The following is a 25456-nucleotide window of genomic DNA, read 5'->3' on the forward strand; positions in this document are numbered from 1 at the left end:
TTTTATTATGTGCACAAGTGGGTGGCTACCTTCTCCTCTGTACCATCTGTTATTGGGGGCTGGGGGCTCCCGCCTTTCCCTGTGCTGTGGAATAAGTGCATTGGGTCAGACCTGTCTGTTCTCTGCAGGTAAGCAGAGCCCTGCTCTCCTCCTCCTCCCCACTGCCTTTGCTCATGGCCTCGGCCGGGCCCTGCTGGAAACACCAGGTGCTCGCTCCCAGCAGAGGTTTGAACCTCTGTCCCTGCAAGCTTGGGGGTTGGGGTCCTGGCAGATGAGGTACCAGGAGGCCCTTTGGGGGAGGCCCAGGCTCTTTGACTGATGGTCTGCGGGTGTGAGCCCCCAAGTTCTAGGCCTGGGGGCCGAAAGGAAGAAGCTTCGAGGAAGAGTCAAGCAGGCCACCTTGGGCATACGTGCTGTCACCCCGGGATGCCCGCCCAGCGCGCCAAGCCCCCCACGCTCACCTGTAAGTGCAGGTGGTGCTGGAGGCCAGGCCGGGGCCCTGCAGGGGCAGGCACACAGTGGGGCTCCGTCGCCGCAGCGCCCCGGCGGCCTCCTCCTGGCCGCTGGCCCTCCCCTAAGGCTTCCTCATCCTAAACAGCAAGTGAAGCCAAACGAAAACCCTGTCTCTCCCGCCGTTCCCTCCCTCCTGGCCTCCGTCCCCCGGGCTCGCCTGCCCCGCCGCCCGGCGGACCGGTCCCTTCCTGCTTTCCCTGGCGGGTGCTTTCCGCTGCTCTGTTACCCGGAGCCAGGACGCGCATATATTCCCAGAATCCGCGCTCAGTGCGTTCGGTCCCCCGGGACACCTGTTCTCTGCACAGGCGCGTCTGGGCGCAGCGGGGGCAGACACGCGTTCCCGGGCAGCGACTCCGGAAGGCCCGAGGGAGTAAATCTGGCCCTCCCGGTTCAGCACAAAGCTCCCCTGGCCGCCTTTCAAAACCGACCGCCTCCCAACTCTCCGCGGACACGAGTGGCGGCTGCCTCCCCTCCCCTCCCCTAGGGCCGCGCACGCCTCCCGCAGGGTCTCAGTGCCTCCTGGGCGGGGGATAATTCCTGTCCCCACCGGTGTCCTGTACTCGCGGGGTCCCGGGTGTAAGTTCTGGGTCCCGGGCTGGCTCCCTGGTGAGCAAAGCCGCATCGCTCGAATTCCAGAAACCCTTCTCGCCGAGCGCCTGCCTGGCTGCTGAAAGCCTGGAGACTGCGCTCTCGGAGGTGGATTTCGGAACTCAGGAGAGAAGAATGAGACGCTCCCTAGTACCCCTAGTCCCCCAGGGGTGGGAGGGGACTGTATCTCAAAATAAGATTCTGCAACTCGACTTTTATAGGGGAAACCAGGCACGCATTTCAAAATCTTCTCATCCGTCCCCACCTCCTTGCGCCGCTTTTCCGCGCCTCCTGTGCCACGGAAGCTGCCCTCTGCTCCTGCTGTTTCCAGCCCGGCAGCCCCCAGACAGGATCTAGCTTGGCCCAGCCGGGCCCTGCTTCCTCTGCCTGGGGTCCTCAGGCCATGCAAGTGAGGAAACCCAGGCTCAGAGGGGCCACGTAACTCTTCCCAAATCACCAGCAAGCCTGGTGCAGCCACGGTGGCGCGCATTCGCCCACTCGGAGACCGAGAGGCAGGTTTTCTGCCTGCACAGCCTCCCGCCCAAGGCCAGACCTGCTGGAGGCCCAGGCCCTGGAGATGGCTGTCTTCAGGGAGACTCTTTATGTCACGCTCATTCACTCCCTAGCGCCTCTTTCTGGCAACGGATGTGTCCAGCGTTCAGGTCTCTTAACTTACGGTCTCCGTTTTTCCAAGTTTGGAAATCAGCTCAGAGCAGAGCGGGCAAAGAGGGGCTTTCACTGGTGCTCAGAGCTCACCTGCGAAGGAGGGACCACAGCCTCCGGGATGCAGCGCCCTGGCTGCCTACTGCTGGCTGGCTGGCCCCTCCCCTGCAGATTCCTCCTCACCCAGCCCCGCACAGGCTGAGGGCTTCACTAACCAGAACCATAGTGTGACAAATGCACACTGGGGGGTTACGGAGGAAGAGCAGAGTTGGGGTCAGAAGGCATTTACCCTGAGAAAAAAGGGCACATGGCACACAACCCATGAAGGGAAGGGAGAGGAACAGCATGTGCAAAAGCTCAGAGTTCAGAGTGGTGGCCTGGAGCTTAGCTGGAGTCAAAGGTGATGGTGGGAGGTGAGGGTCTGGTGCAGGTGGTTCTCCCAAGCTGGGCTGAGCTGTATGACTTGACCCTGAGGGGCATGCGGGCCAGGCTGTGTTTTGTGGGGAGGCAGGAGCCAGGACACAGATTGGGGGAAAGGGGTAAAGGAGCCTGGTCCCTGCGGCCGCCTGCTTACCTAGGACCTCAGGACTTGGGGAATAAGTGGCCATCCTTTGGAATGCTCTCAAGGGATCTCAGATAAGGGGAGGCAGAAGAGTGTTCTGGAGAAAGCAGGGCCCATCCTTCTCCACCCCACCACCCTCTCCCCATGTCCCTGGAGCTGGCTCCTCTCCCACAAGCCAGGCCTGGCCAGCCCCTGGTATCTCACCCTGCCAAAGAGCTATGTAGTGGCAGTTCCACACCCTGTGCCCCTCCCCCACCCCACCCACAGTGAGGACCCCCTGGTGTTGGGGACACTCCGGGTCTGTGGGATTTCTCCAGAAGCAGACTCAGACAGGGATTGGCACCCACACTGAAAAGTTAACATAGTCTAAATATGTGTGTCCCTCCCAAGTTCACATGTGATGGTGGTATTAGGGGGTAGGGCCTTTGGGAGGTGATTAGGTCATGAGAGCACAGCCCTTAGGAATGGCAATAGTACCTTTATAAAAATGGCCCAAGAGAGATCCCTCATCCCTCCCACCATGTGAGGACACAGTGAGAAGCCCCATCTATGGACCAGGAAGCAGCCCTCCCCAGACACTGCTGGGGCCTTGATCTTGGACTCCACAGCCTCCAGAACAATGAGAATAAATTTCTGTTGTTTGTAAGTTGTGCAGTCTGTGGTTTTTGTCATAGCAATGCCAGAAGGTGGTGGATGAGTAAGATGGGGATGGAGAGGTAGCTATGGTAGGCAACTGGAGTATAACCTCCAGGGGAATTTTGGGAAAAATGTAAAACATGCAGAGCTAGGAGGAAGAGAGCTGGGGTATTTATACACCAACTCCTTCCAGCCTGTGGTTGAGAACTCTCCGAGGTGTCAAATCCCCACCTCCAGTCCTGAGCAGAACCAGAGGGACCTTCCCTTCCCAGGATTTAGCCTCTAGGTGATGAGATGTCGCTGCTGGTGGGTGACAGGCAGGACAGCTGAGGGAAGGGCCCCAGGAATCTGGCCACCAGCCAAGTCTGCTGTAGTGCATTTGTGCTCTGAAGCCCAATGCAGTCAATAGATGACTAATAACAGCCAAATGAGAGATTTGCCCTTTTTGGCCCAAAAATGTGATTGAGCTCTTTATTTTTCAGCGTTTTCCAGAAAGACAGAACCAGCAGGATATAAGAAAGGGGGTTTATTAGGGGAGCTGGCTCACAGGCTCACAGAGGTGAGGTCCTCTGACAGGTGGTCTGCAAGCTGGAGACCAGAGCATGGCTCAGTCCAACTTCCAGAGCCTCAGAACTAGGGAAGCCAGCCAGGTTCAGGGAAGCCAGCTCAGGCCCAAGAGTTCCCAAAAGGCCGCTAGTGCGAGTCCCAGAGTTCAAAAGCAGAAGAGCCAATGTACAAAAGCAGGAGGAGAAAAAGCACTCCTCTCCAAAAGGTAGAGAGGAACAGCAGAGAGAGAGTGAATCCCCCTTCTTCTGCCCATTTGTTCCAGCTGGGCCCCCAGCCGATGGGATGGTGTTCTGCCCACACTAAGGACCGGTCTTCCTCTCTCAGGCCACTGACTCACAAGTCCTCCCAGACACACCGAGATACAATGCTTCACCAGCCATCTAGGCATCCCTCAATCCAGCTCAGTTGACCCCTAAAATTAACCATCATAAGCTCCCTAGAGGGACAGGTTGGGGGAGGAGGACACTTCAAGGTCTAGGTCTATGCAGAAGTTTCCCAGACCATTTGAGAACACAACAGTTGAAAACCAAACACGAAAATCAGGGCTCTACTCCAGCCTGAGAAACAGAGCGAGGCTCTGTCTCTTAAAAAAAAAAAAAGAAAGAAAGAAAGAAAGAGAGAGAGAGAGAGAAAAAGAAAAACCAGGGCCAGAAGCGGGGGCTCACACCTGTAATCTTAGCATTTTGGGAGGATCACTTGAGGTCAGGAGTTCAAGACCAGCCTGGCCAACATGGCAAAACCCCATCTCTAATAAAAATACAAAAATTAGCCAGGTGTGGTGGTGGGTGCCTGTAATTACAGCTACTCAGGAGGCTGAGGCACGAGAATCTCTTGAACTCAGGAGATGGAGGTTGCAGTGAGCTGAGATCTCACCCCACTGCACTCCAGCCTGGGTGACAGAACGAGACTCTGTTTCAAAAAAAAAGAGGGCCAGGCGCGGTGGCTCACGCCTGTAATCCCAGCCCTTTGGGAGGCCGAGGTGGGCAGATCACGAGATCAGGAGATCGAGACCATCCTGGCTAATGCGGTGAAACCCCGTCTCTACTAAAAATACAAAAAATTACCTGGACATGGTGGCGGGCGCCTGTAGTCCCAGCTACTGGGGAGGCTGAGGTAGGAGAATGGCGTGAACCCGGGAGGCGGAGCTTGCAGGGAGCCGAGATGGTGCCACTGCACTCCAGCCTGGGTGACAGAGCAAGACTCCGGCTCAAAAACAACAACAACAACAACAACAACTTGTGGTTTAAATATATTGTATCTCTACCGGTATTTTGTCCATTTAGTCTATCAGTTACCGAGAGAGATGTTTTAAAATTTCCCACAGTAGTTGTGGATTTGCTGCTACTTTTTTAGTTCTATCAGATTTTGTTTTCTATGTTTCAGCGCTGTGTTATTAGGTGTCTACAGATTTATGATTGTTAGATCTTCCTATTCAATTGACCCTTTTATAATTGTGAAATGGTTTTATCGTCACTGCAACCTCCGCCTCCCGGGTTCAAGTGATTCTCCTGCCTCAGCCGCCCGAGTAGCTGGGACTACAGGTGCCCGCCACCACACCCAGCTAATGTTTTGTATTTTTAGTAGAGACGGGGTTTCAACACGTTGGCCAGGATGGTCTCAATCTCTTGACCTCATGATCTGCCTGCCACGGCCTCCCAAAGTGTTGGGATTAGAGGCACAAGCCACCACGCCCGGCCAATATTACTAAATATCAAGTCAATGTTCACTTTTCCAATTGTTTTGTAAACGTTTGTTTGAATTGGAACCCAGTTTTGCCACTTTGTGACTGGTTGATAAGTCAGGTCTTCTTAATCCACACTTTTCTTATTCGTCCTTTCTTCCCCTCTAGCAAAGGAAACCAGGCTGTTCCCCTGTAGCTCACCAGCCTGGATTTTGCCAGCTGTGCCCCCTGCTACTGTTTAACATGCATCTGTGCCTCTGCATTCCCTGTAAGCTGGTAGTTTGTATTGAGGAGTTGGACTCCATTTCTTAACTTCTGGCTACTGACAGCTTCCTTTTTTTTTTTTTTTTTTTTTGAGACGGAGTCTCGCTCTGTCTGTCGCCCAGGCTGGAGTGCAGTGGCTCCATCTCGGCTCACTGCAAGCTCCGCCTCCCGGGTTCACGCCATTCTTCTGCCTCAGCCTCCTGAGTAGCTGGGACTACAAGCACCCACCACCACGCCTGGCTAATTTTTTTGTATTTTTAGTAGAGATGGGGTTTCACCGTGTTAGCCAAGATGGTCTTGATCTCCTCACCTTGTGATCCGCCCGCCTCGGCCTCCCAAAGTGCTGGGATTACAGGTGTGAGCCACCACACCCGGCCTAAAAATCCAAGTTTTAGGCACCAGCTACTAGTGCAGTAGCCACGTGTGGTTAGAGCCTCCAGTTCTTTACAGTCTCATTGTGTGGCCCAGGCTGGAGTGCAGTGGCACAGTCATACATAGTTCACTGCAGCCTTGAACTGCCTGGCTCAAGGGATCCCCCGACTCAGCCTCCAGAGTAGCTGGGACTACAGCTGCACACCACCACATCCCACTAATTTTATTATTTTCTGTAGAGATGAGGTCTCACAGCCAGGTATGGTGGCTCATGCCTGTAATCCTAGCACTTTGGGAGGCCAAGGCAGTTGGATCATTTGAGGTCAGGAGTTGATTGTGCCACTGCACTCCAGCCTGGGTGACAGAGTGAGATCCTGTCTCAAAAAAAAAAAAAAGAAAAAAAAAAGATTAAAAATGAGATGAGGTCTCGGGGTCTCACTATGTCTCCCAGGCTTGTCTCAAGCTCCTAGACTCAAGCGATCCTCCCACCTCGGCCTCCCTAAGTACTGAGATTACAGGCATGAGCCACTGTGCCTGGCCCGTGTGTGAGAAATTGAGTAGGGGTGGGAAGGTTTATTTGGTTTCTAGCTTGCTGGAGTGTCACATTCCAAGGACCTTACCTGAAAGGCTGAGTGTTTTTACAGGGTCCCTTCTCCTTGATGCCTGGACTCCAATTCCTTTCTCCATAACACCATCAGACAGCTAAAGCTTTAATTTCATGGGCTTTCAGCTGCCATTTTCTGCTTGACTTTGTAACCTCCTACCCAAAACAGCTTAGAGATTGGCAAATATCTTAATGGGAAAAGAGGCACAGAAGATTGAATGGTAGCTTCCAATGCCAATATTTGCCTCCCCAGGCCTGTGAGAATCCCAGAAGCTCTGAGCTGCCACTTTCTGCTTGGTCTCTAAGTACCTGCCAGGCTCATCTCAATGTGATTCCCTTTTCTCAGGTTCTCAGTCCCTCAAGTCCTGGCTGCCTTGGTTGCTCTCCAATGCCTTCAAACAGCTGTTATGTTGTTGCTGTTGTTTTGAGACAGAGTCTTGCTCTGTCGCCCAGGCTGGAATGCAATGGCTCGATCTCGGCTCAATGCAAGCTCCACCTCCTGGGTTCACACCGTTTTCCCGCCTCAGCCTCCCAAGTACCTGGGAGTACAGGCACCTGCCACCACGCCTGGCTAATTTTTTGTATTTTTAGTAGAGACGGGGTTCCACCATGTTGGTCATGCTGGTCTTGAACTCCTGACCTCGTGATCCACCCGCCTCAGCCTCCCAAAGTGCTGGGATTACAGGCGTGAGCCACCGTGCCCGGCCTGTTGTTGTTTTTAAACTAGTTTTTAGAGTTGCTTTTGGTGTCTGATACTTGTTATTTACCACAGCCACAAGTAGGTGTTTTTGCTTTGTGGGAAGCTTTATTTTTGAGAGCATAGAGGTTCCTGATTACTATAAAGAATTAAATGGGGCCGGGCGCGGTGGCTCACGCCTGTGCTCCGAGCACTTTGGGAGGCCGAGGCAGGCAGATCACCTGAGGTCAGGAGTTCGAGACCAGCCTGACCAACACGGAGAAACCCCGTCTCTACTAAAAATACAAAATTAGCCAGGTGTTGTGGTGCATGCCCGTAATCCCAGCTACTTGGGAAGCTGAGGCAGGAGAATCGCTTGGACCTGGGAGGTGGAGGTTACAGTGAGCCAAGATCACGCCATTGTACTCCAGCCTAGGCAACAAGAAAGAAACTCCGTTTCAAAAAAAAAAAAAAAAGAATTAAATGGCCTAATAAATGATAATGAGTACTTATAGATTTGCCTGGTAGACAGGAAGAATGATCTACTGGATGATTTGATTGATATAAGAAATTATTAAAATTAGGGCCAGGCATGGTGGCTCACACCTGTAATTTCAGCACTTTGTGGGCTAAGGCAGGAGGATCTATTGAGGTCAGGAGTTCAAGACCAGCCTGGGTAACATAGCAAGACCTCATCTCTACAAAAAAACTTTAAAATTAGCCAGGCACAGGCCAGGTGTGGTGGCTCACACCTGTAATCCCAGCACTTTGGGAGGCAGAGGCAGGTGGATCACCTGAGGTCAGGAGTTGGAGACCAGCCTGGCCAACTTGAAAACCCCATCTCTACTAAATATACAAAATTAGCCGGGCGTGGTGGTGCACGCCTGTAATCTCAGCTACTCGGGAGGCTGAGGCAGGAGAATCACTTGAACCTGGGAGGCGGAAGTTGCAGTGAACCAAGATCATGCCATTGCACTCCTGCCTGGACAACAAGAATGAAACTCCATCTCAAAAAAAAAAAAAAAAAAGTACAAAGACTGCATGTGCATGAGTGAAAAAACACAAGGGGAAATGTAGTGATATGAAAGGAATATAAAATCTGACACATGAAACAAATAGTTCTATCTGTGTTGTTTTGGATAAAATGAAAAGGCATTTCGCTTACTAAAAAGGTGATATTTCAATATTCTAAGAAGACTTTGATTAGGAATATAGCAGAAGACTTTTCTGCAACTATCCATCAAAAGATCAGATTCTGGCCAGGCGCGGTGGCTGGCACCTGTAATCCTAGCACTTTGGGAGGCTGAGGCGGGTGGATTGCCTGAGCTCAGGAGTTTGAGACCAGTCTGGGCAACACAGTGAAACCTTGTTTCTACTAAAGATGCAAAAAATTAGCCAGGCGTGGTGGTGGGCACCTGTAGTCCCAGGTACTCAGGAGGCTGAGGCAGGAGAATCGCTTGAACCTGGGAGGCGAAGGTTGCAGTGAGCCAAGATCACGCCACTGCACTCCAGCCTGGGTGACAGAGCAAGACTCTGTCTCAAAAAAAAAAAAAAAAAAAAAAAGATCAGATTTCATCTCCCTGAATATAGAAGGGATGTTATCTTACCAGCCCTGGCAGGCCACTACGCATATGTGCATACGTTACCATGTCTGTGAGGCATTGCAAGGAATACATTTTTTTAGCCACTCAACACCTGTAGATGTCACCGTCTCGGCAGCCAACAGGAAGACCCCATCTCCAGCCGCTGTTTTCCACTATGACCCTCAGCGAGTGTTTTCCACATTTAACCACGTGGGACCCACGGCTCTGGGGATGGCTTTGTGCCATCTTGTGTTTCTTCAGACCCTGCCTGAGTTTCAGGAGAATTTGCGTGACCATGGGAAAGGCTACTGGGCTGTCCAAATGCTACCGTCTCTCAGGCACCTGACCTCGGGCATCTGCTCCCTTCTGCCGCTTCCTGAGGGAACTCTCGGAAACCCCGCAGCAGGCCTCACTCAGGAGAGGCTGAGGGAAGAGATGGGCAGTGCCACCAGAGGCCCCTCTGAGAGGCGTTTCAACAGCTTCACCTGTGCTGACAAAGCAGCCGTGGTCAGCACCGCCGTTAAGGCGGCCATCAGTGGCGGCTGGCATGCAGCGTGTACACGAATTAACACATCAAACAGAAAAACTGCCAAAAGCAGTAAAGCGAATAAGGATGGCTGGGTGCTCCTCACTCCTCCAATGCCAGTGCCCCATCCCCTCTCAGTGCCTTCGTTCACCTCTGACTCCTGTGTCCACAGTGACGTTCCAAAGAAGAGCCCCACAGAGTGGACACACAGAAAGTCCTACTCACGTCGAATGTGTCATCCTCTGCCCTTCCTTCCTAGGCTCACCCTGGCCATGAGATGTGCATGGCTGCTGGAATGGGCATTGCACAACGATTCTCGAGAGCTCAGGGCCGCCGTGAGTGTTCTCTGGGTTTCTGGCACATGGTGGAGGAGGTTTAAAGGAGCCTTCTCTAACTTCACCATCCTTAGAGAAAAGACACCTCATTGGGTGGCTCCTGGCTCCATGGTCAGTGGCTTTGACTGCAGGGGTGGAGGTGTGGGGGGGGTGGACCAACACATTTTTATTTAAAAAAAAATATATGTATATCTCACAAAATAGACTTTTTTCCATAGAAAAAAAAATTTTTTTTTTGAGATGGAGTTTCACTCTTGTTGTCCAGGCTGGAGTGCAGTGGTGCGATCTCAGCTCACCGCAACCTCTGCCTCCCGGGTTCAAGCAATTCTCCTGCCTCAGCCTCCCGAGTAGCTGGGACTACAGGCATGCGCCACCACGCGCAGCTAATTTTGTATCTTTAGTAGAGATGGGGTTTATCCATGTTGGTCAGGCTGGTCTTGCACTCCTGACCTTAGATGATCCGCCCGCCTCAGCCTCCCAAAATGCTGGGATTACAGGAGTGAGCCACCGTGCCCAGCTCATAGAAATATTTATTACCAGTATTCCAAAGAACAGTACTTGGAGAAAGCATATCTAAGCACGTGTGCAGGGCGAGGTACAGTGGTTCACACCTGTAATCCCAGCACTTTGGGAGACTGAAGCAGGAGGATCGTTTGAGGCCGGGAATTCAATAACAGCCTGGGCAACATACTGAGGCCCCATATTTACAAAAATTTAAAAAATTAGCTGGCGTGGCAGAGTGCACCTGTAGTCCCAGGTACTTGGGAGGGTGAGGTGGGAGGATCACTTGCAGCCAGGATTTTGAGGCTGCAGTGAGCTATGATTGCACCTGCACTTCAGCCGGGGTGACAGAGCAACAGCTTGTCTCTAAAATAAATAAAAACATCCTCTGCTACATGGGTGATTCAGCTGTAACTAACAGAACATCCAACCCAAAGTAGCTTAAACAACATCGTTTAAGTTTGTTAGCTTGATCCACTTCGTAAGATTAAGAAGTCTATGGCTCTGGGTCCAGTTCAGCTGTGGCAGGGATCTTGGTCAGCTTGTCTGCTCTGCTCCTGGTCTTCTCTTAGTCTCAAGATGGCTCTGCAGTCCCAAGAATCATGTCCTCACCCAGCAGAGGCGGTGAGTAGAGACAGAGAATGTCTTACCTCACATCAACTCTTTAACAGGAGGACGGCATTCCTAGAAGCGCCCTTCCCCACACACTGTCCCCTGCAACAGCACACTTCCCCTCATATCTCCTTGGCCCCAAATTAGTTATGTGCCCTTGCTCAGTCCTGGACCTGGCCCCTTCCCCGAGATCAAGAGATCACCACAGATGGCTGAAAGCCCCTGGTTCTGTTGGAAAGAACAAGGAGGAAAGGCTTTGAGGCAGGTGGTCCGCAGGGCCCGTCATGCTGGAGAGCTGATCTGTAGGTGAGCAAAAAAAATTCCATTTTCCCTGATGAACCGCAGAGAAAGGATTCCCGCTGAAGTAGAAAGGAGATGACCACCTCAGTCCTCTTCCTCATCTTGTTCACCATGGGTCCTGCAGAGCTTAGGGGGTGTGTGGGTGCTGGGTGGTAAAGATCCAGGACCTGGGCAGAGATGGGATCCGCCCTCAGCGCAGGGTTATGACAGTACTCTCCGAAACTCCACTCGATTGCTCTTCTGCCTCCTCATCATTGTCCTACTCTGCACCATGGGACACAGAGCACTGCCCCAGAGCCGGCAGTCAGGAGCAGTGGAGGGAGGAATGGAGGGGGCAGTGGAGGGATGAATGGAGTGAGGGAGTGGAGGGATGAATGGAGGGGATAGGGGAGGGATGAATGTAGGGGGCAGTGGAGGGATGAACGGAGGGGGCAGTGGAGGGATGAACGGAGGGGGCAGTGGAGGGAGGAATGGAGGGGGCAGTGGAGGGAGGAATGGAGGGGGCAGTGGAGGGATAAATGGAGGGGGCAGTGGAGGGATGAATGGAGGGAGTGGAGGGATGAATGGAGGGGATAGGGGAGGGATGAACGGAGGGGGCAGTGGAGGGATGAACGGAGGGGGCAGTGGAGGGAGGAATGGAGGGGGCAGTGGAGGGATGGAGGGGGCAGTGGAGGGATGAATGGAGGGGGCCATGGAAGGATGAATGGAGTGAGGGAGTGGAGGGATGAATGGAGGGGATAGGGGAGGGATGAATGTAGGGGGCAGTGGAGGGATGAACGGAGGGGGCAGTGGAGGGAGGAATGGAGGGGGCAGTGGAGGAATGGAGGGGGCAGTGGAGGAATGAATGGAGGGGGAAGTGGAGGTATGAATGGAGTGAGGGAGTGGAAGGATGAATGTAAGGAGTAGGGGAGGGATGAATGTAGGGGCGAGTGGAGGGATGAATGTAGGGGGGAGTGGAGGGATGAATGGAGGGGGGAATGGAGGGATGGAGTGGGGAGTGGAGGGGTGAATGGGGGGAGTGGAGAGGTGAATGGAGAGGGGACTGGAGGTTGAAGGGAGGGGGGAGTGGAGGGTGAATGGAGGGGGGAGTGGAGGGGTGAATGGAGGGGGGAGTGGAGGGGTGAATGGAGGGGGGAGTGGAGGGGTGAATGGAGGTGGGAGTGGAGGGGTGAATGGAGGGGGGAGTGGAGGGGTGAATGTAGGGGGGAGTGGAGGGGTGAATGGAGGGGGGAGTGGAGGGATGAATGGAGGGGGGTTTGGAGGGGTGAATGGAGGGAGAGTGGAGGTGAATGGAGCGGGGAGTGGAGGGATGAACGCAGGGTTCTGTGGAAGGATGAATTTAGGGGGTAGTGGAAGGATGAATGGAGGGGGGAGTGGAAGGGTGAATGGGGGGGAGTGGAGGGGTGAAAGGAGCAGGGAGTGGAGGGTGAAGGGAGGGGAGAGTGGAGGGGTGAATGGAGGGGGGTTTGGAGGGGTGAATGGAGGGAGAGTGGAGGTGAATGGAGCGGGGAGTGGAGGGATGAACGCAGGGTTCTGTGGAAGGATGAATTTAGGGGGTAGTGGAAGGATGAATGGAGGGGGGAGTGGAAGGGTGAATGGAGGGGGGAGTGGAGGGGTGAATGGAGCAGGGAGTGGAGGGATGAATGGAGCGGGGAGTGGAGGGATGAACGCAGAGTTCCACTGAAAGATGAATTTAGGGGGTAGAGGAGGGATGAATGCGGCGGGACAGTGGTGGCTTAAATGCAGTGGGTGGGGGTGCTGGTGTGTGTCTGGGAAGGGTACTGTGCTCTCTGCTCTTTGTAGCCACGTGTCAGGGTGCTTTCTAAGAAGGGTGCAGGCAGACACTGTTTTCTTCAGGAGAGAAGCTCCGAATGGGACGTAGGGAACACAGCCCCGGAGCCAGGAAGCACTGAGCTGCTCCCAGCCAGGCCCTGGAGGGTTGGCATCATTCGAGAGCTGAGGAGTGTCCCCCACCCCTCAGCTGCACTTGGGTCTCAGCTGGGATGAACTGGATGTGGACACAGTGCTGGGCAGGCGATTATCTTCATGGGCCTGGGCGCTCCTGCTGTTGTGGATAATTATCTTGGCAGTAAGGCTGGGTCCAGTAGTCGGGGTCTCAGAAGGGAAAGCAGGGAAGCCTGGGAGAGCAGCCAGGGAGAGGGGAGGCCTGAGGGGAGGGCCTGCCTGGGCCACTTTCCCTCTTTGAGTCCTGTTTCAGCCCCAGGTGCACAGGCTGAGAAAGACCAGTCCCACCAGGGCCTCTCGCTGGGGGCCACAGGGGCCCAGGCTACAGATGACTTCTGTCCTCTCCTGGGCTGGACAGGCCCGCACAGACCTGGGCCGCCACACAGAGGACACTTGTAGAACGGGGGAGCCGCTCTGCTCCAGCACCTGCTCCTGGAGGAAGCAGAGCTTGTCCTCACCTCCAGGAAGGCCCTGTTCCTGGCCGCAGGTGATCTCAGCTAACCCGTGGCTCCCGCTCACTTGCCCAGCTGTGCAAGCCTAGGCAGAAGAAGGCAGGAAGAGTGGGTGTCAGGGCCTGACTGTGGGGACCTGCATGTCTTTTGTGGTCTGTCATGGTGGGTCGCCAGTGGGAAGCCTCCTTTTCCCACTAGAGCCAATGCCCCAGTTCCAGGGCTCTGCGGGTGGCTTGAAGCTTTCACTGCCTGAGACTAGCAGCTAAGTACAGAAGCGCAAATGCAAAGGGGCATCAGGGTTCCCACGGTCTTTGCTCGCTGTGGAAAGCGGGGACGGGCGCTGACGCAGGCCAACTCCTACATCTTCACCAGAGCCCTGGACCAAATCCTGCAGAACGTAGGTTCAGCAGACAGCAGACCTGAACCCGTGTCCCTGAGGGTGGTCACAATCTCAGCCCCAGGTGGAGGCTGCTGAATGCCGTGGCTGCAAAGCAGGGCGCTGGGGCTGGGGGGTCAGCTGTTGGGGGGAGGGAGCCCTCTGACCCGCCCTGCACCCCTTTTTCCCTCCCTCCTCTCACCCCCTTGTTCCCAGAAGGGGGCACCTACACCTTCTACCTCTAGCTCCAGGCACCCACTCCGGCCTGCCAGGCCCCAAAACCTTGGCATCCTTGTCCTTAAGCCCAAGGGACCCGCTAGGCATTCCCTTGGCGCCACCACATTGCGTAGGGGGCCCCATGCCCTCCCCCCCGACCCTCTCTCCCCTACACAGTACTGCGAATTTTGTAATTGTTAGTACAGCTAGTGTCCTCATTTAAAACCTTCTAGCAGTACCAGGCTATAGTGGAAACAAAATCCCCTCCCCCGACACCCCAAATTCACACTCCTGCTGGGAGTTGTGGGAAGTGCCTGTCTCCCCGCTCCTCCCATCCCAGTCTCTCATGAAAACGTCTGACAGGTGAAAATACCATCTTCCGGTAGGGCCAATTTGCTCATCCCTGATTACGGCGGAGGTTCAGCATCTTGCAGTCAGCAGCCATTGGGGCTTCCTTTGTGCAGCGTGTCCGGCGGCCTGGCCCTTTCCTCGTTGACTGATAGTAGCCCTTTGTTGGGAGAATCGGCCCTTTGTTAACCACTGAGTTATCATGGGTTCTCCCCAGTTTGTTGCACATCCTTTGATTTTAAATATGTGGTCTAGGCAAAATGTTGCCATTTGTAATTTAATTAAATTTTTCAACAATGTTCCCTGTGGCTTCTGCTTTTTTGTTGTGCTCAGAAAAGCCTTCCGGATCCTGAGATCATTAAATAGTCTCCTGTGTTTTTTCCAAATTATGTTTGTGGTTTTGGGTTTTTGCATTTCTATTTCCGCTCCATAAGGAATTTATTTCCGTGTGAAGAGTGGGATCAGGATCCAACGTCATGTTTTTCCAGACACCAAGGCCGCCCAGTTGCTCCACCACCCTTTATTATTATTTTATTATTATTTTTATTTTTTTTGAGATGGAGTTTCGCTCGTTGCCCAGACTGAAGTACAATGGCGTAATCTAGGCTCACTGCAATCTCTGCCTCCCAGGTTCAAGCGATTCTCCTGCCTCAGCCTCCCAAGTAGCTGGGATTACAGGCATGCGCCACCACATCCAGCTAATTTTGTCCTTTTTTTTTAGTAGAGACAGAGTTTCACCATGCTGGCCAGGCCAGTCTCAAACTCCTGACCTCAGGTGATCCACCTGCCTCGGCCTCCAAAGTGCTGGTTATAGGCATGAGCCACCGTGCCTGGCCACACCCTTTTTTAAATGACATCCTTTCCCTCATGGATTTATTTATTTATTAATTAATTTATTTTTTGAGACAGAGTCTCGCTTTGTTGCTCAGGCTGGAGAGAAGTGGCACGATCTTGGCTCACTGCAACCTCCGCTTCCAGGTTCAAGTGATTCTCCCACCTCAGCCACCTCAGTAGCTGGGATTACAGCCACCCACCACCATGCCCAGCTATTTTTTGTATTTTTAGTAGAGACAGGGTTTCCCCATGTTAGTTAGGCTGGTCTCGAACTGCTGACCTCAGGTGATCCACCCGCCTCGGCCTCCCAAAGTGCTGGGATTACGGGCGTGAGCCACTGCGCCCGGCCCCTCGTGGATTTTAAATGCCCCATTAATCATATGCTAAATGATCACACAGACCTGCTCTGATGTGTGTGTCCAGTCAACTGCCCATAGCAAGATGTTCTATGATGGATTCTACTCTCTGGCAGGGCTAAAGCCCCCTTTTTTATTTTTCAGAATTTTATAGGCTTTTCATTCTTTTTTTATTGTAGTAAAATATATGTAACATAAAAACTACTATGTTTGCCATTTTTAAGTGAACAGTTGAGTGACATCAAGTGCATTCACATTGTTGTACAACCATCACCATCCTCCATTTCCACCGTCCATCTCTACTGTCCATTACCACCATTTATCCCCACCCTCCATCACCACCCACCATCTCCACCCTCCATCTCCACCGTCTATCACCACCCTCCATCACCACCTTCCATCTCCACCCTTCGTCCACCCTCCATCTCCATCTCCACCATCCATCACCACTCTCCATCACCACCCTCCATCACCACCCTCCATCTCCACCCTCCATCACCACCCACCATTTCCACGCTCCATCTCCACCATCCATCACCACCGTCCATCACCACCCTCCATTTCCACTGTCCATTACCACCATTTATCTCCACCCTGTATCACCACTCACCATCTCCACCCTCCATCCACCCTCCATCTCCATCTTCCATTTCCACCGTCCATCGCCACCATTCATCTCCACCTTCTATCACCACTCACCATCTCCACCCTCCATCACCCACCATTTCCACCCTCCATCTCCACCATCCATCACAACCATTCATCTCTGCTGTCCATCACCACCCTCCATTTCCACCCTGCATCTCCACCCTCCATTTCCACCCTGCATCTCCACCCTCCATCACCACCCTCCATCTCCACCCTCCATCACCACCCTCCATCGCCACCCTCCATCACCAACCTCCATCGCCACCCTCCATCACCACCCTGCATCTCCACCCTCCATCACCACCCTCCATCTCCACCCTCCATCACCACCTTCCATCTCCACCCTTCGTCCACCCTCCATCTCCACCGTCCATCACCACCATTCATCTCCACCCTTCATCCACCCTCCATCTCCATCCTCCATCACCACCCACCATTTCCACCCTCCATCTCCACCATCCATCACAACCATTCATCTCTGCTATCCATCACCACCCTCCATTTCCACCCTGCATCTCCACCCTCCATCACCACCTTCCATCTCCATCCTCCATCTCCACCGTCCATCGCCACCATTCATCTCCACCATCCATCACCACCCTCCATCACCACCTTCCATCTCCACCCTTCATCCACCCTCCATCTCCATCCTCCATCTCCACCATCCATCACCACCATTCATCTCCACCCTCCATCACCACCCTCCATCTCCACCCTCCATCTCCATCCTCCATCACCACCCACCATTTCCACGCTCCATCTCCACCATCCATCACCACCATTCATCTCCGCTGTCCATCTCCACCATCCATCACTACCATCCATCACCACTCTCCATTTCGACTGTCCATCTCCACTGTCCATTACCACCATTTATCTCCACCCTCCATCACCACTCACCATCTCCACCCTCCATCCACCCTCCATCTCCATCCTCCATCACCACCATCCATCACCACCCTCCATCACTATCTTCCATCTCCACCCTTCATCCACCCTCCATCTCCATCCTCCATCTCCATCGTCCATCACCACCATTCATCTCCACCATCCATCACCACTCTCCATCACCACCCTCCATCTCCATCCTCCATCACCACCCACCATTTCCATGCTCCATCTCCACCATCCATCACTACCATTCATCTCCGCTGTCCATCACCACCCTCCATTTCCACCCTGCATCTCCACCCTCCATTTCCGCTGTCCATCTCCACTGTCCATTACCACCATTTATCTCCACCCTCTATCACCACTCACCATCTCCACCCTCCATCCACCCTCCATCTCCATCCTCCATCACCACCCACCATTTCCACCCTCCATCTCCACCATCCATCACAACCATTCATCTCTACTGTCCATCACCACCCTCCATTTCCACCCTGCATCTCCACCCTCCATCTCCACCCTTCATCACCACCATTTATCTCCACCATCCATCACCACCCTCCATCATCACCCACCATCTCCACCCTCCATCACCACCCTCTATCACCACCATCTATCTCCACCCTCCATCCACCCTCCATCTCCATCCTCCATCACCACCAACTATTTTTACCCTCCATCTCCACCATCCATCACCACCCTCCATCTCCACCCCCCATCACCACCCTCCATCACCAACCTCCTTCACCACCCACCATCTCCACCCTCCATCTCCACTGTCCATCACTACCCTCCACCCTCCATCACCACCCTCCATCTCCACCCTCCATCACCGCCATCCATCACCACCCTCCATCTCCACCCTTCAACTCCACTATCCATGTCCACCATCCATCACCACCCTCTATCTCCACTGTCCATGTCCACCATCCATCACCACCCTCTATCTCCACTGTCCATCACCACCCTCTATCTCCAGCGTCCATGTCCACTGTCCATCACCACCTTCTATCTCCACTGTCCATCACCACCTTCTATCTCCACTGTCCATCACCACTCTCTATCTCCACTGTCCATGTCCACTGTACATCACTACCCTCCATCTCCACTGTCCACGTCCACCGTCCATCACTACCCTCCACCTCCACTGCCCATGTCCACCATCCATCACTACCCTCTGTCTCCACTGTCCATGTCCACCGTCCGTCACTACCCTCTGTCTCCACTGTCCATGTCCACCATCCATCACTACCCTCCGTCTCCACTGTCCATGTCCACCGTCCATCACTACCCTCTATCTCCACCGTCCATCACCACCCTCTGTCTCCACTGTCCATGTCCACCATCCATCACCACCCTCTATCTCCACTGTCCATGTCCACCGTCCATCACCACCCTCTATCTCCACTGTCCATGTCCACCGTCCATCACCACCCTCTATCTCCACTATCCATGTCCACCGTCTATCACTACCCTCTATCTCCACTGTCCATGTCCACTGTCCATCACCACCCTCTATCTCCACTGTCCATGTCCACCGCCCATCACCACCCTCTATCTCCACTGTCCATCACCACCCTCTATCTCCAGGGTCCATCACCACCCTCTGTCTCCACTGTCCATGTCCACTGTTCATCACCCCCGGTCTCCACTGTCCATGTCCACCGTCCATCACCACCCTGTATCTCCACTGTCCATGTCCATTGTCCATCACCCCCTCTGTCTCCACTGTCCATGTCCACTGTCCATCACCACCCTCTATCTCCACCGTCCATCACCACCCTCTATCTCCACTGACCATCACCACCCTCTATCTCCACTGTCCATCACCACCCTCTATCTCCACTGTCCGTGTCCACCGTCCATCACCACCCTCTATCTCCACCGTCTGTGTCCACCGTCCATCACCACCCTCTGTCCCCACCGTCCATGTCCACTGTCCATGTCCACCGTCTATCACCACCCTCTATCTCCACTGTCCATGTCCACCATCCATCACCACCCTCTATCTCCACTGTCCATGTCCACTGTCCATCACTACCCTCTATCTCCACTGTTCATCACCACCCTCTATCTCCACTGTCCATCACCACCCTCTATCTCCACTGTCCATCACCACCCTCTATCTCCACTGTCCATCACCACCCTTTATCTCCACTGTCCATGTCCACTGTCCATCACCACCCTCTATCTCCACTGTCCATCACTACCCTCTGTCTCCACTATCCATGTCCACTGTCCATCACCACCCTCTATCTCCACTGTCCATCACCACCCTCTATCTCCACTGTCCATGTCCACTGTCCATCACCACCCTCTATCTCCACTGTCCATCACCACCCTCTATCTCCACTGTCCATCACCGCCCTCTATCTCCACCATCCATCACTACTCTCTATCTTCACTGTCCATGTCCACCAGCCATCACCACCCTCTATCTCCACTGTCCACGTCCGCTGTCCACATCCAATATCCATTTATACCATCCATCACCACCATCCATGTCCATTGCCCATCTCCAATGTCCATCATCACCACCCATCACCACCATCCATCTCCAGAACTTTTACCTCTTCCCAAATTTCAAGTCTGTATTCATTAAACAGTCACTCCCCATGCTCCTCCTGTCAGCTACTATCTCTATGAAAGTGACTACTCTAGGGACCTCACATAAGTGGGATTGTATGGTACGTGTTCTTCTGTGACTGGCTTATTTAACTCAGCATAGGATCCTCAGGGTCCATCCAAGTTGCAGCCAGTACTGGAATTTCTTTCCTTTTTAAGACTGAATACTATTCCATTTTGTGTGTGTGTATCTCAGTGCAGCAGGGCTCTGATACCCCCGCTCCTCACCAAGACTGGTTTGCCAGGACTGCATCTGCCCAGTCCCAGCGGGTGGGAGGTGGGATCTCACTGTGGTTTTGCTTTGCATTTCCTGGAGGATGCTGGACATTTCCCATGTACTTGTTGACCAGTGTGTGTCTTCTATGGAGACGTGTCTATTCATTCTCCTGGCACCTTTAGTTTCCTAAGGGCTTTGGAATCATCATGGAGCTACTTTTACTGGGGATCATTCAATATATGGATCAATTTGGGGGCATTGGGGACTCACTCCTTCTTGGTTTTCCTTTCCTGGTCTCCTCTGTGGGTTCCTGGCTTGGTTTGAGTTGTCCTCTCTACCCCTCCAATTCCCTACCCCCACTCTGTGGCTCCAAGCATTGCCCACACTTGCCCCCCGGCTCGGTCCTGGGCTCCCAAATGCCACGGGACGACTGGCCCAAGTGTGCTCAGGTCTCTCCACCTCTCAACTGCCGACCTCCACAGCTGCAGCTGCTCTCCTGGCCTAGCTTCCCAGCCAAGTGACAGCCACGCGCACTGACCAGTGCAGGCAGAGCACTGGGCACCAGGCTTGCCTCCCCCTCCCTGTCGAGAAAGTCAAGCGTCCTGGCAAAAGAAAGAAAAGCACAAATAGAGAAAATGACTTTTGTGAAGGGTCATTTACCAAGGTGTGAACAAGGAGCAGGCCAAGCCAAGAAGGTAGAGAAGCCCTGGGTAGGGCAGGAAAGGATGGGCAGGGCTGGGGCCTCTGAGGGACACGTCTGGCTCCAGCTGGGAGGAAGCCTGGGAAATTCCTAAGCTCACCTGGAAGCAGGTGTGGTGGGGCCGGAGGGGCAGACCCAGAACAACCAGTCCCTCCCTGCCACCTACCCACCCACACAATTGGGCAGCCAGTTCGTGCCCACTCTTCCTCCCAAATTTCCTTCTCTCTCCTTCCTCTGCTTCCACCCCCCCCCCCCCCCGCCCTCCAGCCCAGGGCCTGTGGTTGGATGCCTGGTTGCTCCCTCCAGGCATGTTTTGCCATCCACTGACTTTGACACCCGGAGCTCTCTCTTTCAAACCCTCATCGGAGCAGATCTCAGCCAGCATCAACTCACATTATCCTTGGGAAGAAATACAGGCACCCGGATCACCTGGCTGCAGGTCCCTCCCCTGGCCTCCCTCCTCCCCAACCTTGCAATCCAAGCTCCTGCCGGAGGGTCTTTCCTGGGAGCCAGCCCGGAGTGCTCACTGCCCTGCTCTCTCCCTAGGCAAGTGAGTTCCCACCAGGTGCTTGGGGTGGGGCTCCCGCCATACTCAAGGGCGCCTCTTGACTCCCTCTGAACTCGCAATCCCGCCCCAGGGTCCGGCACAAGGGCTCTGCTGGGGCTGAGATCCGTGAAGGCAGATGCGGAGAGGCGCCGCTGGATTGCGAGCAGGCCCAGGTGCGGGGCCAGGTGGGCGTTGTCGCAGCCGGGAACGCCCAGCCGCTCCAGCTGCCCACAGGACAAAGCCCAGGGTTCCCCGGCCGGGCGCACGCCTTCCACATTCTCCCTCACCTCCACGCCTTCGCTCACTGCGTTCCCCAACACCTGGAATGCAGCAATGCCCTTCGGGCACGCTGCCCCGCCCCCACGTTGATCCCGTCCCCTAGCTTGGCTCCAGGGACACCGGATACGCCTATTGTAGCACCCGGCAAGGAGCGAGCAGTCCGCGGGAACTTACCCAGGAACCCCGAGCGCCTCCGTAGTTCCCAACCCCACCCCCACCCCTCGGCCAGGTCAGGTCCACTGTGGGCGTCCAGGTAAGACGGCGTCGATGCCCACCACCATCGCCCCCAGCTCAGCCCAGAGCGCCCGGGGTCAGAGGTGGAGATGTCGGACATACGCCCAGTCTGGCCAGGCTCGGGAGGGAAAATCTGGGAGCGGCCTCTGGAACTCACCCTGACTCCTTCACCGTCCGCTCCTCTTTTTGGCTTCCGGGGCCAAAGGTTGGGGACTCGAGGCGCGGCTGGAGCCTACAGCTCCTGGAGCGTAGTTAAGCGTTAACCCGCTGGCCCTGGGCCAGGGCGCGGGGCTGCTGTGCGCACCCGGTTCCGCCCGTCGAGCTGGGGCCGGACCGGGAGGCGAAGCGGGGGGCGCTGCCGAGACGGGAGGGCATGGGGTCTGCGCCGGGTGCGAGATGAGCCGGGGAGGCCAGCGGGGCCTGGGCGGTGGGGGAAGGTGGGCCTGGGGCAGGGGCGGGATGGCGGCTCGCCAAGCCTCTGCCGACCGGACCACGCGCGGGGCTACCGGGGCGGGCTCACCTGGCGGCCGCGGACCCGCCCTAACCTGGTTTCCGGCGGGGCGGCGCGGGGTGCGGCGCGGCCGGGCGGGGGCGGGGCGGGCGGGGGCGTGCCCGGGGCGGGGCGTTCCGGGGGCGGGGCTGAGCCTCCCGCAGACGTCAGGGACCCGCGCGCGAGGCCGCCGGCGGCCGCTCTGCCGTGGGCTCGGCCCGGGCTGCCACGAGCGTGCGGGCCTCGCCGGGCATGTCCTAGGCGGCGGCCCCGCCCAGCGCTCGGCCGGGCGGGCGGGCGGGCGCGAGGGCAGGGACCGAGCCGGGCCGAGCTGGGGAACAAGCCGGGGACCAAGCCGGGGACCAAGCCGGGGACTAAGGCGAGCCGGAGACCGAGCCCGAACAGCAGGTAGGACGCGCCGGCCCAGCGCTGGCCGCGGCCCGGGCCTCCCATCGCCCGCACCTGCACGGCTGTGGGGTCTCACGGGGCGCGGGGTCCCGGCCGAGGCCGGACAAAGGCGCGGGGGTTGGGGGCCGCCCGGCGCACCTGGTCAGGCGGGTCCCCGCCGCCGCGGAGGCGGCCCTGGTCTGCGCCAGGCCGGGAGGAGCCGCCCCGTTTCTACGCGGCCTGCGGAGGGGGCGGCAAGCCTGGGCACCCGGGTCCCCGCCCCGGCACCGGCTCGGCCATGGCCGCCCCCGGAGAGCGCTGATTCAGAAGGCGCCGCTCCCTCCCCCGCCGGGCCCGGCCGCCTCCCTCCTGGCCTGGTCTCTCCTCCCGCGGTCCCTCCCTCCGTCTTCCTCCTCCTCCCCTCTCTCCTCATTTCCCTTCGCCGCCGTCTCCCCGCTGTCCCTGCCTCTCCCGGCCTGTGCGCTCCTTCCACCGCCGGCCTGCCCCGCCCGGCTCGCTGCCCTTCCCTGCCCTGGGCCTAGCCACCTTTCCCCGCCTCACCTCTGACTGTGGCCCTTCCGGCCGGGGCGGCTGAGGGGACAAGTTTGGGGCGTTTATTATTCTTCCTCCTAGCAACGATGGCCAGCCCAGCCCCGAGGCAGCCGAAGGCCGTTTTGGAGCGTCGCGGGCTCCCAGGCCTTTTCAGGGTGGGCGGCCGGGGCAGTGGGTGGCCTGGCTCTGGCACAGCGGCACCACCAGGCTCTGGGGCTCGGCTTCATTTCGCCTTAAACAGGGACCGTGGACTCCTCAGGGCGGGCCGCGGCAGGTGATGGCAGAGGGTGAGGCCTAGGAGGGCTGGCTGGGGGCCGGAGGTGCAATGGTGGGGTAGGCCCTGCCCGATAGAGCACCCTGTGGTCTCCCCCAGCAGCCCTAGGGAGGGTGGGGCTGTAGAGGCCTCCTGGAGGCTTTGCTGTCTGGGGCTGCAGGGTCATCGAAGTGCCAGCCCCTTGGCCTCCAGTGCCTGCCTGTCTGGCTGGAGCTGGGTGCGTGGCTTAGGAAGGGCAGGGCCCCCAGAGTGAGAGGGTCCTGGCTGCCTGGAGCTGCCTTCTCCTGGTGAGGATTTTTCTACATCTTCCCACCTCCCTGCCCAAGGTGAGGGTTTACCATGGGGCACGTGGTCACTTGGGCATTCATGCTAGCTGGAGCTGGGTGTTGGTTTTCCCTGCTGCTCACCGAAGGGAGCTGAGATCTGGTGAAGAGCCTCAAAGCTGAAGACCTTGGGCGTGGGCACTGGGCAAAGTAGGGACAAGGAGCCACTCACTCCTCTGCCTGGCACCCTCATGTGGTGTGGCCCTGCCCTCAGGATGCACTCAGCCCGGCAGCCTCCCCTTCTCCTCTGCTCCACTGGGCCTCAGCTGCTGTCATCCCTGTCCTGGGTTATTGTCCTCACTTCTTGACTGGCCTCCTGAGTCACAGCCCCATGTCCACTCAGGAGCTCTGGGGCCGGCCTCACAGGTATGTGACTTGGAGACCCCCACAGAGCCCTTGCTTGGACCCCGCATGTGGCATCTTGCTCAGCTCTCCTTCTCAGTTTTTGAATAAGGGTACCGCGTTTTCTTTTTGTGCTGGGCCCTGCAGTGATGGAGCCAGTGCTGGGCCCTTTAGGGACTTCATCCCCTTCCAGGACTAGCCACAGGACTCCCAGGGGTATGTGAGGCCCTCCATCCCTCTGCCCTGTCCCTCTGCCCTGGTGGCACCAGCTGTTCCCTCTGCCTGGAATGCAGTCCCACAAGCGTTCATGGGCTCACTTCCACCCCTGTCCTGCTGAGCCTGGAGGCTGCCTCCCAGTGAGCCCCCATCCCCGCCCTGCCTCTGTGTTCCCTGTATCCCTCTTTGCACCTTCTCATAAGCCGTTTCTGTTCTCTGTGCCTGCCCCCTGCTGAAGGGAGCCCCAGGATTCTGAGACTCTGTGTCTTGGTCACAGCTGGCTTAGCCCAGGCCGCCTAGCCCATAGCAGCACTCAGGATGTGCTGGGCAGTGGGGTGGAGTGCCCAGGACATGTGTGCTGGCATGCTCCGGGCTTGCAGGGTGCATGCTGGCTGGGTATAGGGCTGCCCAGGGTTGGGTCTTGGGGTGACATCAGCCCTGGCCATTACTCAGGCTGTCCCCGTTACCTCCCAGGCTGCCACGGGGCTCCCTGCCTGTCTACACCAGCCCCTCAGACCACCCCCTCTTTGTTGATGTCACTGGGACTATGGGCACCAAAGCCTCACTTCCCTCTTGGGCACTGAAGGGGCTGCCTGATGCTGTCCTTGCACCATGCCCACCAAAGGACATTTGGCCTCCTCTCGGTGGTGGACATATTGCTGACTCAGGGCCCCTGTCTCCAGCTCTGTCCCTGCTGCCCCTCACCCCAGGCCCTGCCTGGGGCTCAGTCTCAGAGTGTCCTGCTGGGGGGAGTGGGTCCTCTTGTTCAGTGTATGTCTTGGGGTGGGTCTGGTGCTGTGGACCTGGCATCATGGGGACCCTGATGGGCTATGCTGGGTCCTACCCATGAGCTGCTCCTGATGGGTCACGTGGATGTGGGGTCACTTACAGGCAGTGCAGCCAGTGTCCCCATGAACTTCAACCCCTGACACCTGGAAGATAGAGGAGATGAGGTGTGCTGGGGCCTGGAGGATAAGGGAGAACCAGGCAGCCTTTGCCAGGGATGGACGTGATGGGAAAGGCCGGTCACGAGGGCAAAGGCCTGGCAGTGGGACTCGGGACCATACCCAGGGAGGGCGGGTGGCCTGATGAGGCTGGAGCCCAGCTTCTCCGGAAGCTGCCAGCTTCCCTTAGAGGGTCAGGATCTGGGCTGGGCCTTGGATGTGTCCAGGGGGCTAAGAACCAGGCCAGGGAGCCCCAC

The 25456-nt window shown here is 56.1% G+C and overlaps 1 protein-coding gene, 1 long non-coding RNA gene and 1 other non-coding gene across 9 annotated transcripts in view, besides 4 other annotated features; 2 read left to right on the forward strand and 1 right to left on the reverse strand.

The window, feature by feature from the left end:
* Positions 1160–1771: an enhancer, noted in NCBI's record as "H3K4me1 hESC enhancer chr14:105310441-105311052 (GRCh37/hg19 assembly coordinates)". NCBI's record gives its function as "activates a minimal SCP1, AML or CMV promoter by ChIP-STARR-seq in naive H9 embryonic stem cells {active_cell/tissue: H9 hESC(naive)}" and the evidence as "EXISTENCE:reporter gene assay evidence [ECO:0000049][PMID:30033119]".
* Positions 1772–2383: an enhancer, noted in NCBI's record as "H3K4me1 hESC enhancer chr14:105311053-105311664 (GRCh37/hg19 assembly coordinates)". NCBI's record gives its function as "activates a minimal SCP1, AML or CMV promoter by ChIP-STARR-seq in primed H9 embryonic stem cells {active_cell/tissue: H9 hESC(primed)}" and the evidence as "EXISTENCE:reporter gene assay evidence [ECO:0000049][PMID:30033119]".
* Positions 12952–13453: an enhancer, noted in NCBI's record as "H3K4me1 hESC enhancer chr14:105322233-105322734 (GRCh37/hg19 assembly coordinates)". NCBI's record gives its function as "activates a minimal SCP1, AML or CMV promoter by ChIP-STARR-seq in naive H9 embryonic stem cells {active_cell/tissue: H9 hESC(naive)}" and the evidence as "EXISTENCE:reporter gene assay evidence [ECO:0000049][PMID:30033119]".
* Positions 20552–22205, reverse strand: LOC124903397 (uncharacterized). Its single transcript, XR_007064367.1, has 2 exons — positions 21829–22205; positions 20552–21010 (listed from the first exon to the last, which is right to left on the reverse strand). It is a non-coding gene; the product is annotated as an uncharacterized LOC124903397 (long non-coding RNA).
* Positions 21569–25456, forward strand: part of CEP170B (centrosomal protein 170B) — a 32235-nt gene continuing 28347 nt past the window's right edge. For 3 of the 7 annotated variants that reach the window (XM_005267550.5, NM_001112726.3, NM_015005.3), the window contains exon 1: positions 22324–22569. The gene's annotated coding sequence lies outside the window, so the exon portion shown is untranslated. Of the gene's footprint in view, positions 21691–22323; positions 22570–22979; positions 23701–23911; positions 24064–25456 lie in introns of those variants that run through there. The other 4 variants (XM_011536665.3, XM_047431286.1, XM_047431287.1 and 1 more) reach the window with 4 other exon arrangements.
* Positions 22370–22467, forward strand: MIR12121 (microRNA 12121). The gene has a single exon (NR_162135.1). It is a non-coding gene; the product is annotated as a microRNA 12121 (primary transcript).
* Positions 23354–24329: an enhancer, noted in NCBI's record as "H3K27ac-H3K4me1 hESC enhancer chr14:105332635-105333610 (GRCh37/hg19 assembly coordinates)". NCBI's record gives its function as "activates a minimal SCP1, AML or CMV promoter by ChIP-STARR-seq in naive H9 embryonic stem cells {active_cell/tissue: H9 hESC(naive)}" and the evidence as "EXISTENCE:reporter gene assay evidence [ECO:0000049][PMID:30033119]".

The sequence above is a fragment of the Homo sapiens genome, chromosome 14, assembly GCF_000001405.40.
Source record: "Homo sapiens chromosome 14, GRCh38.p14 Primary Assembly".
In the NCBI taxonomy this organism is placed as follows: domain Eukaryota; kingdom Metazoa; phylum Chordata; class Mammalia; order Primates; family Hominidae; genus Homo; species Homo sapiens.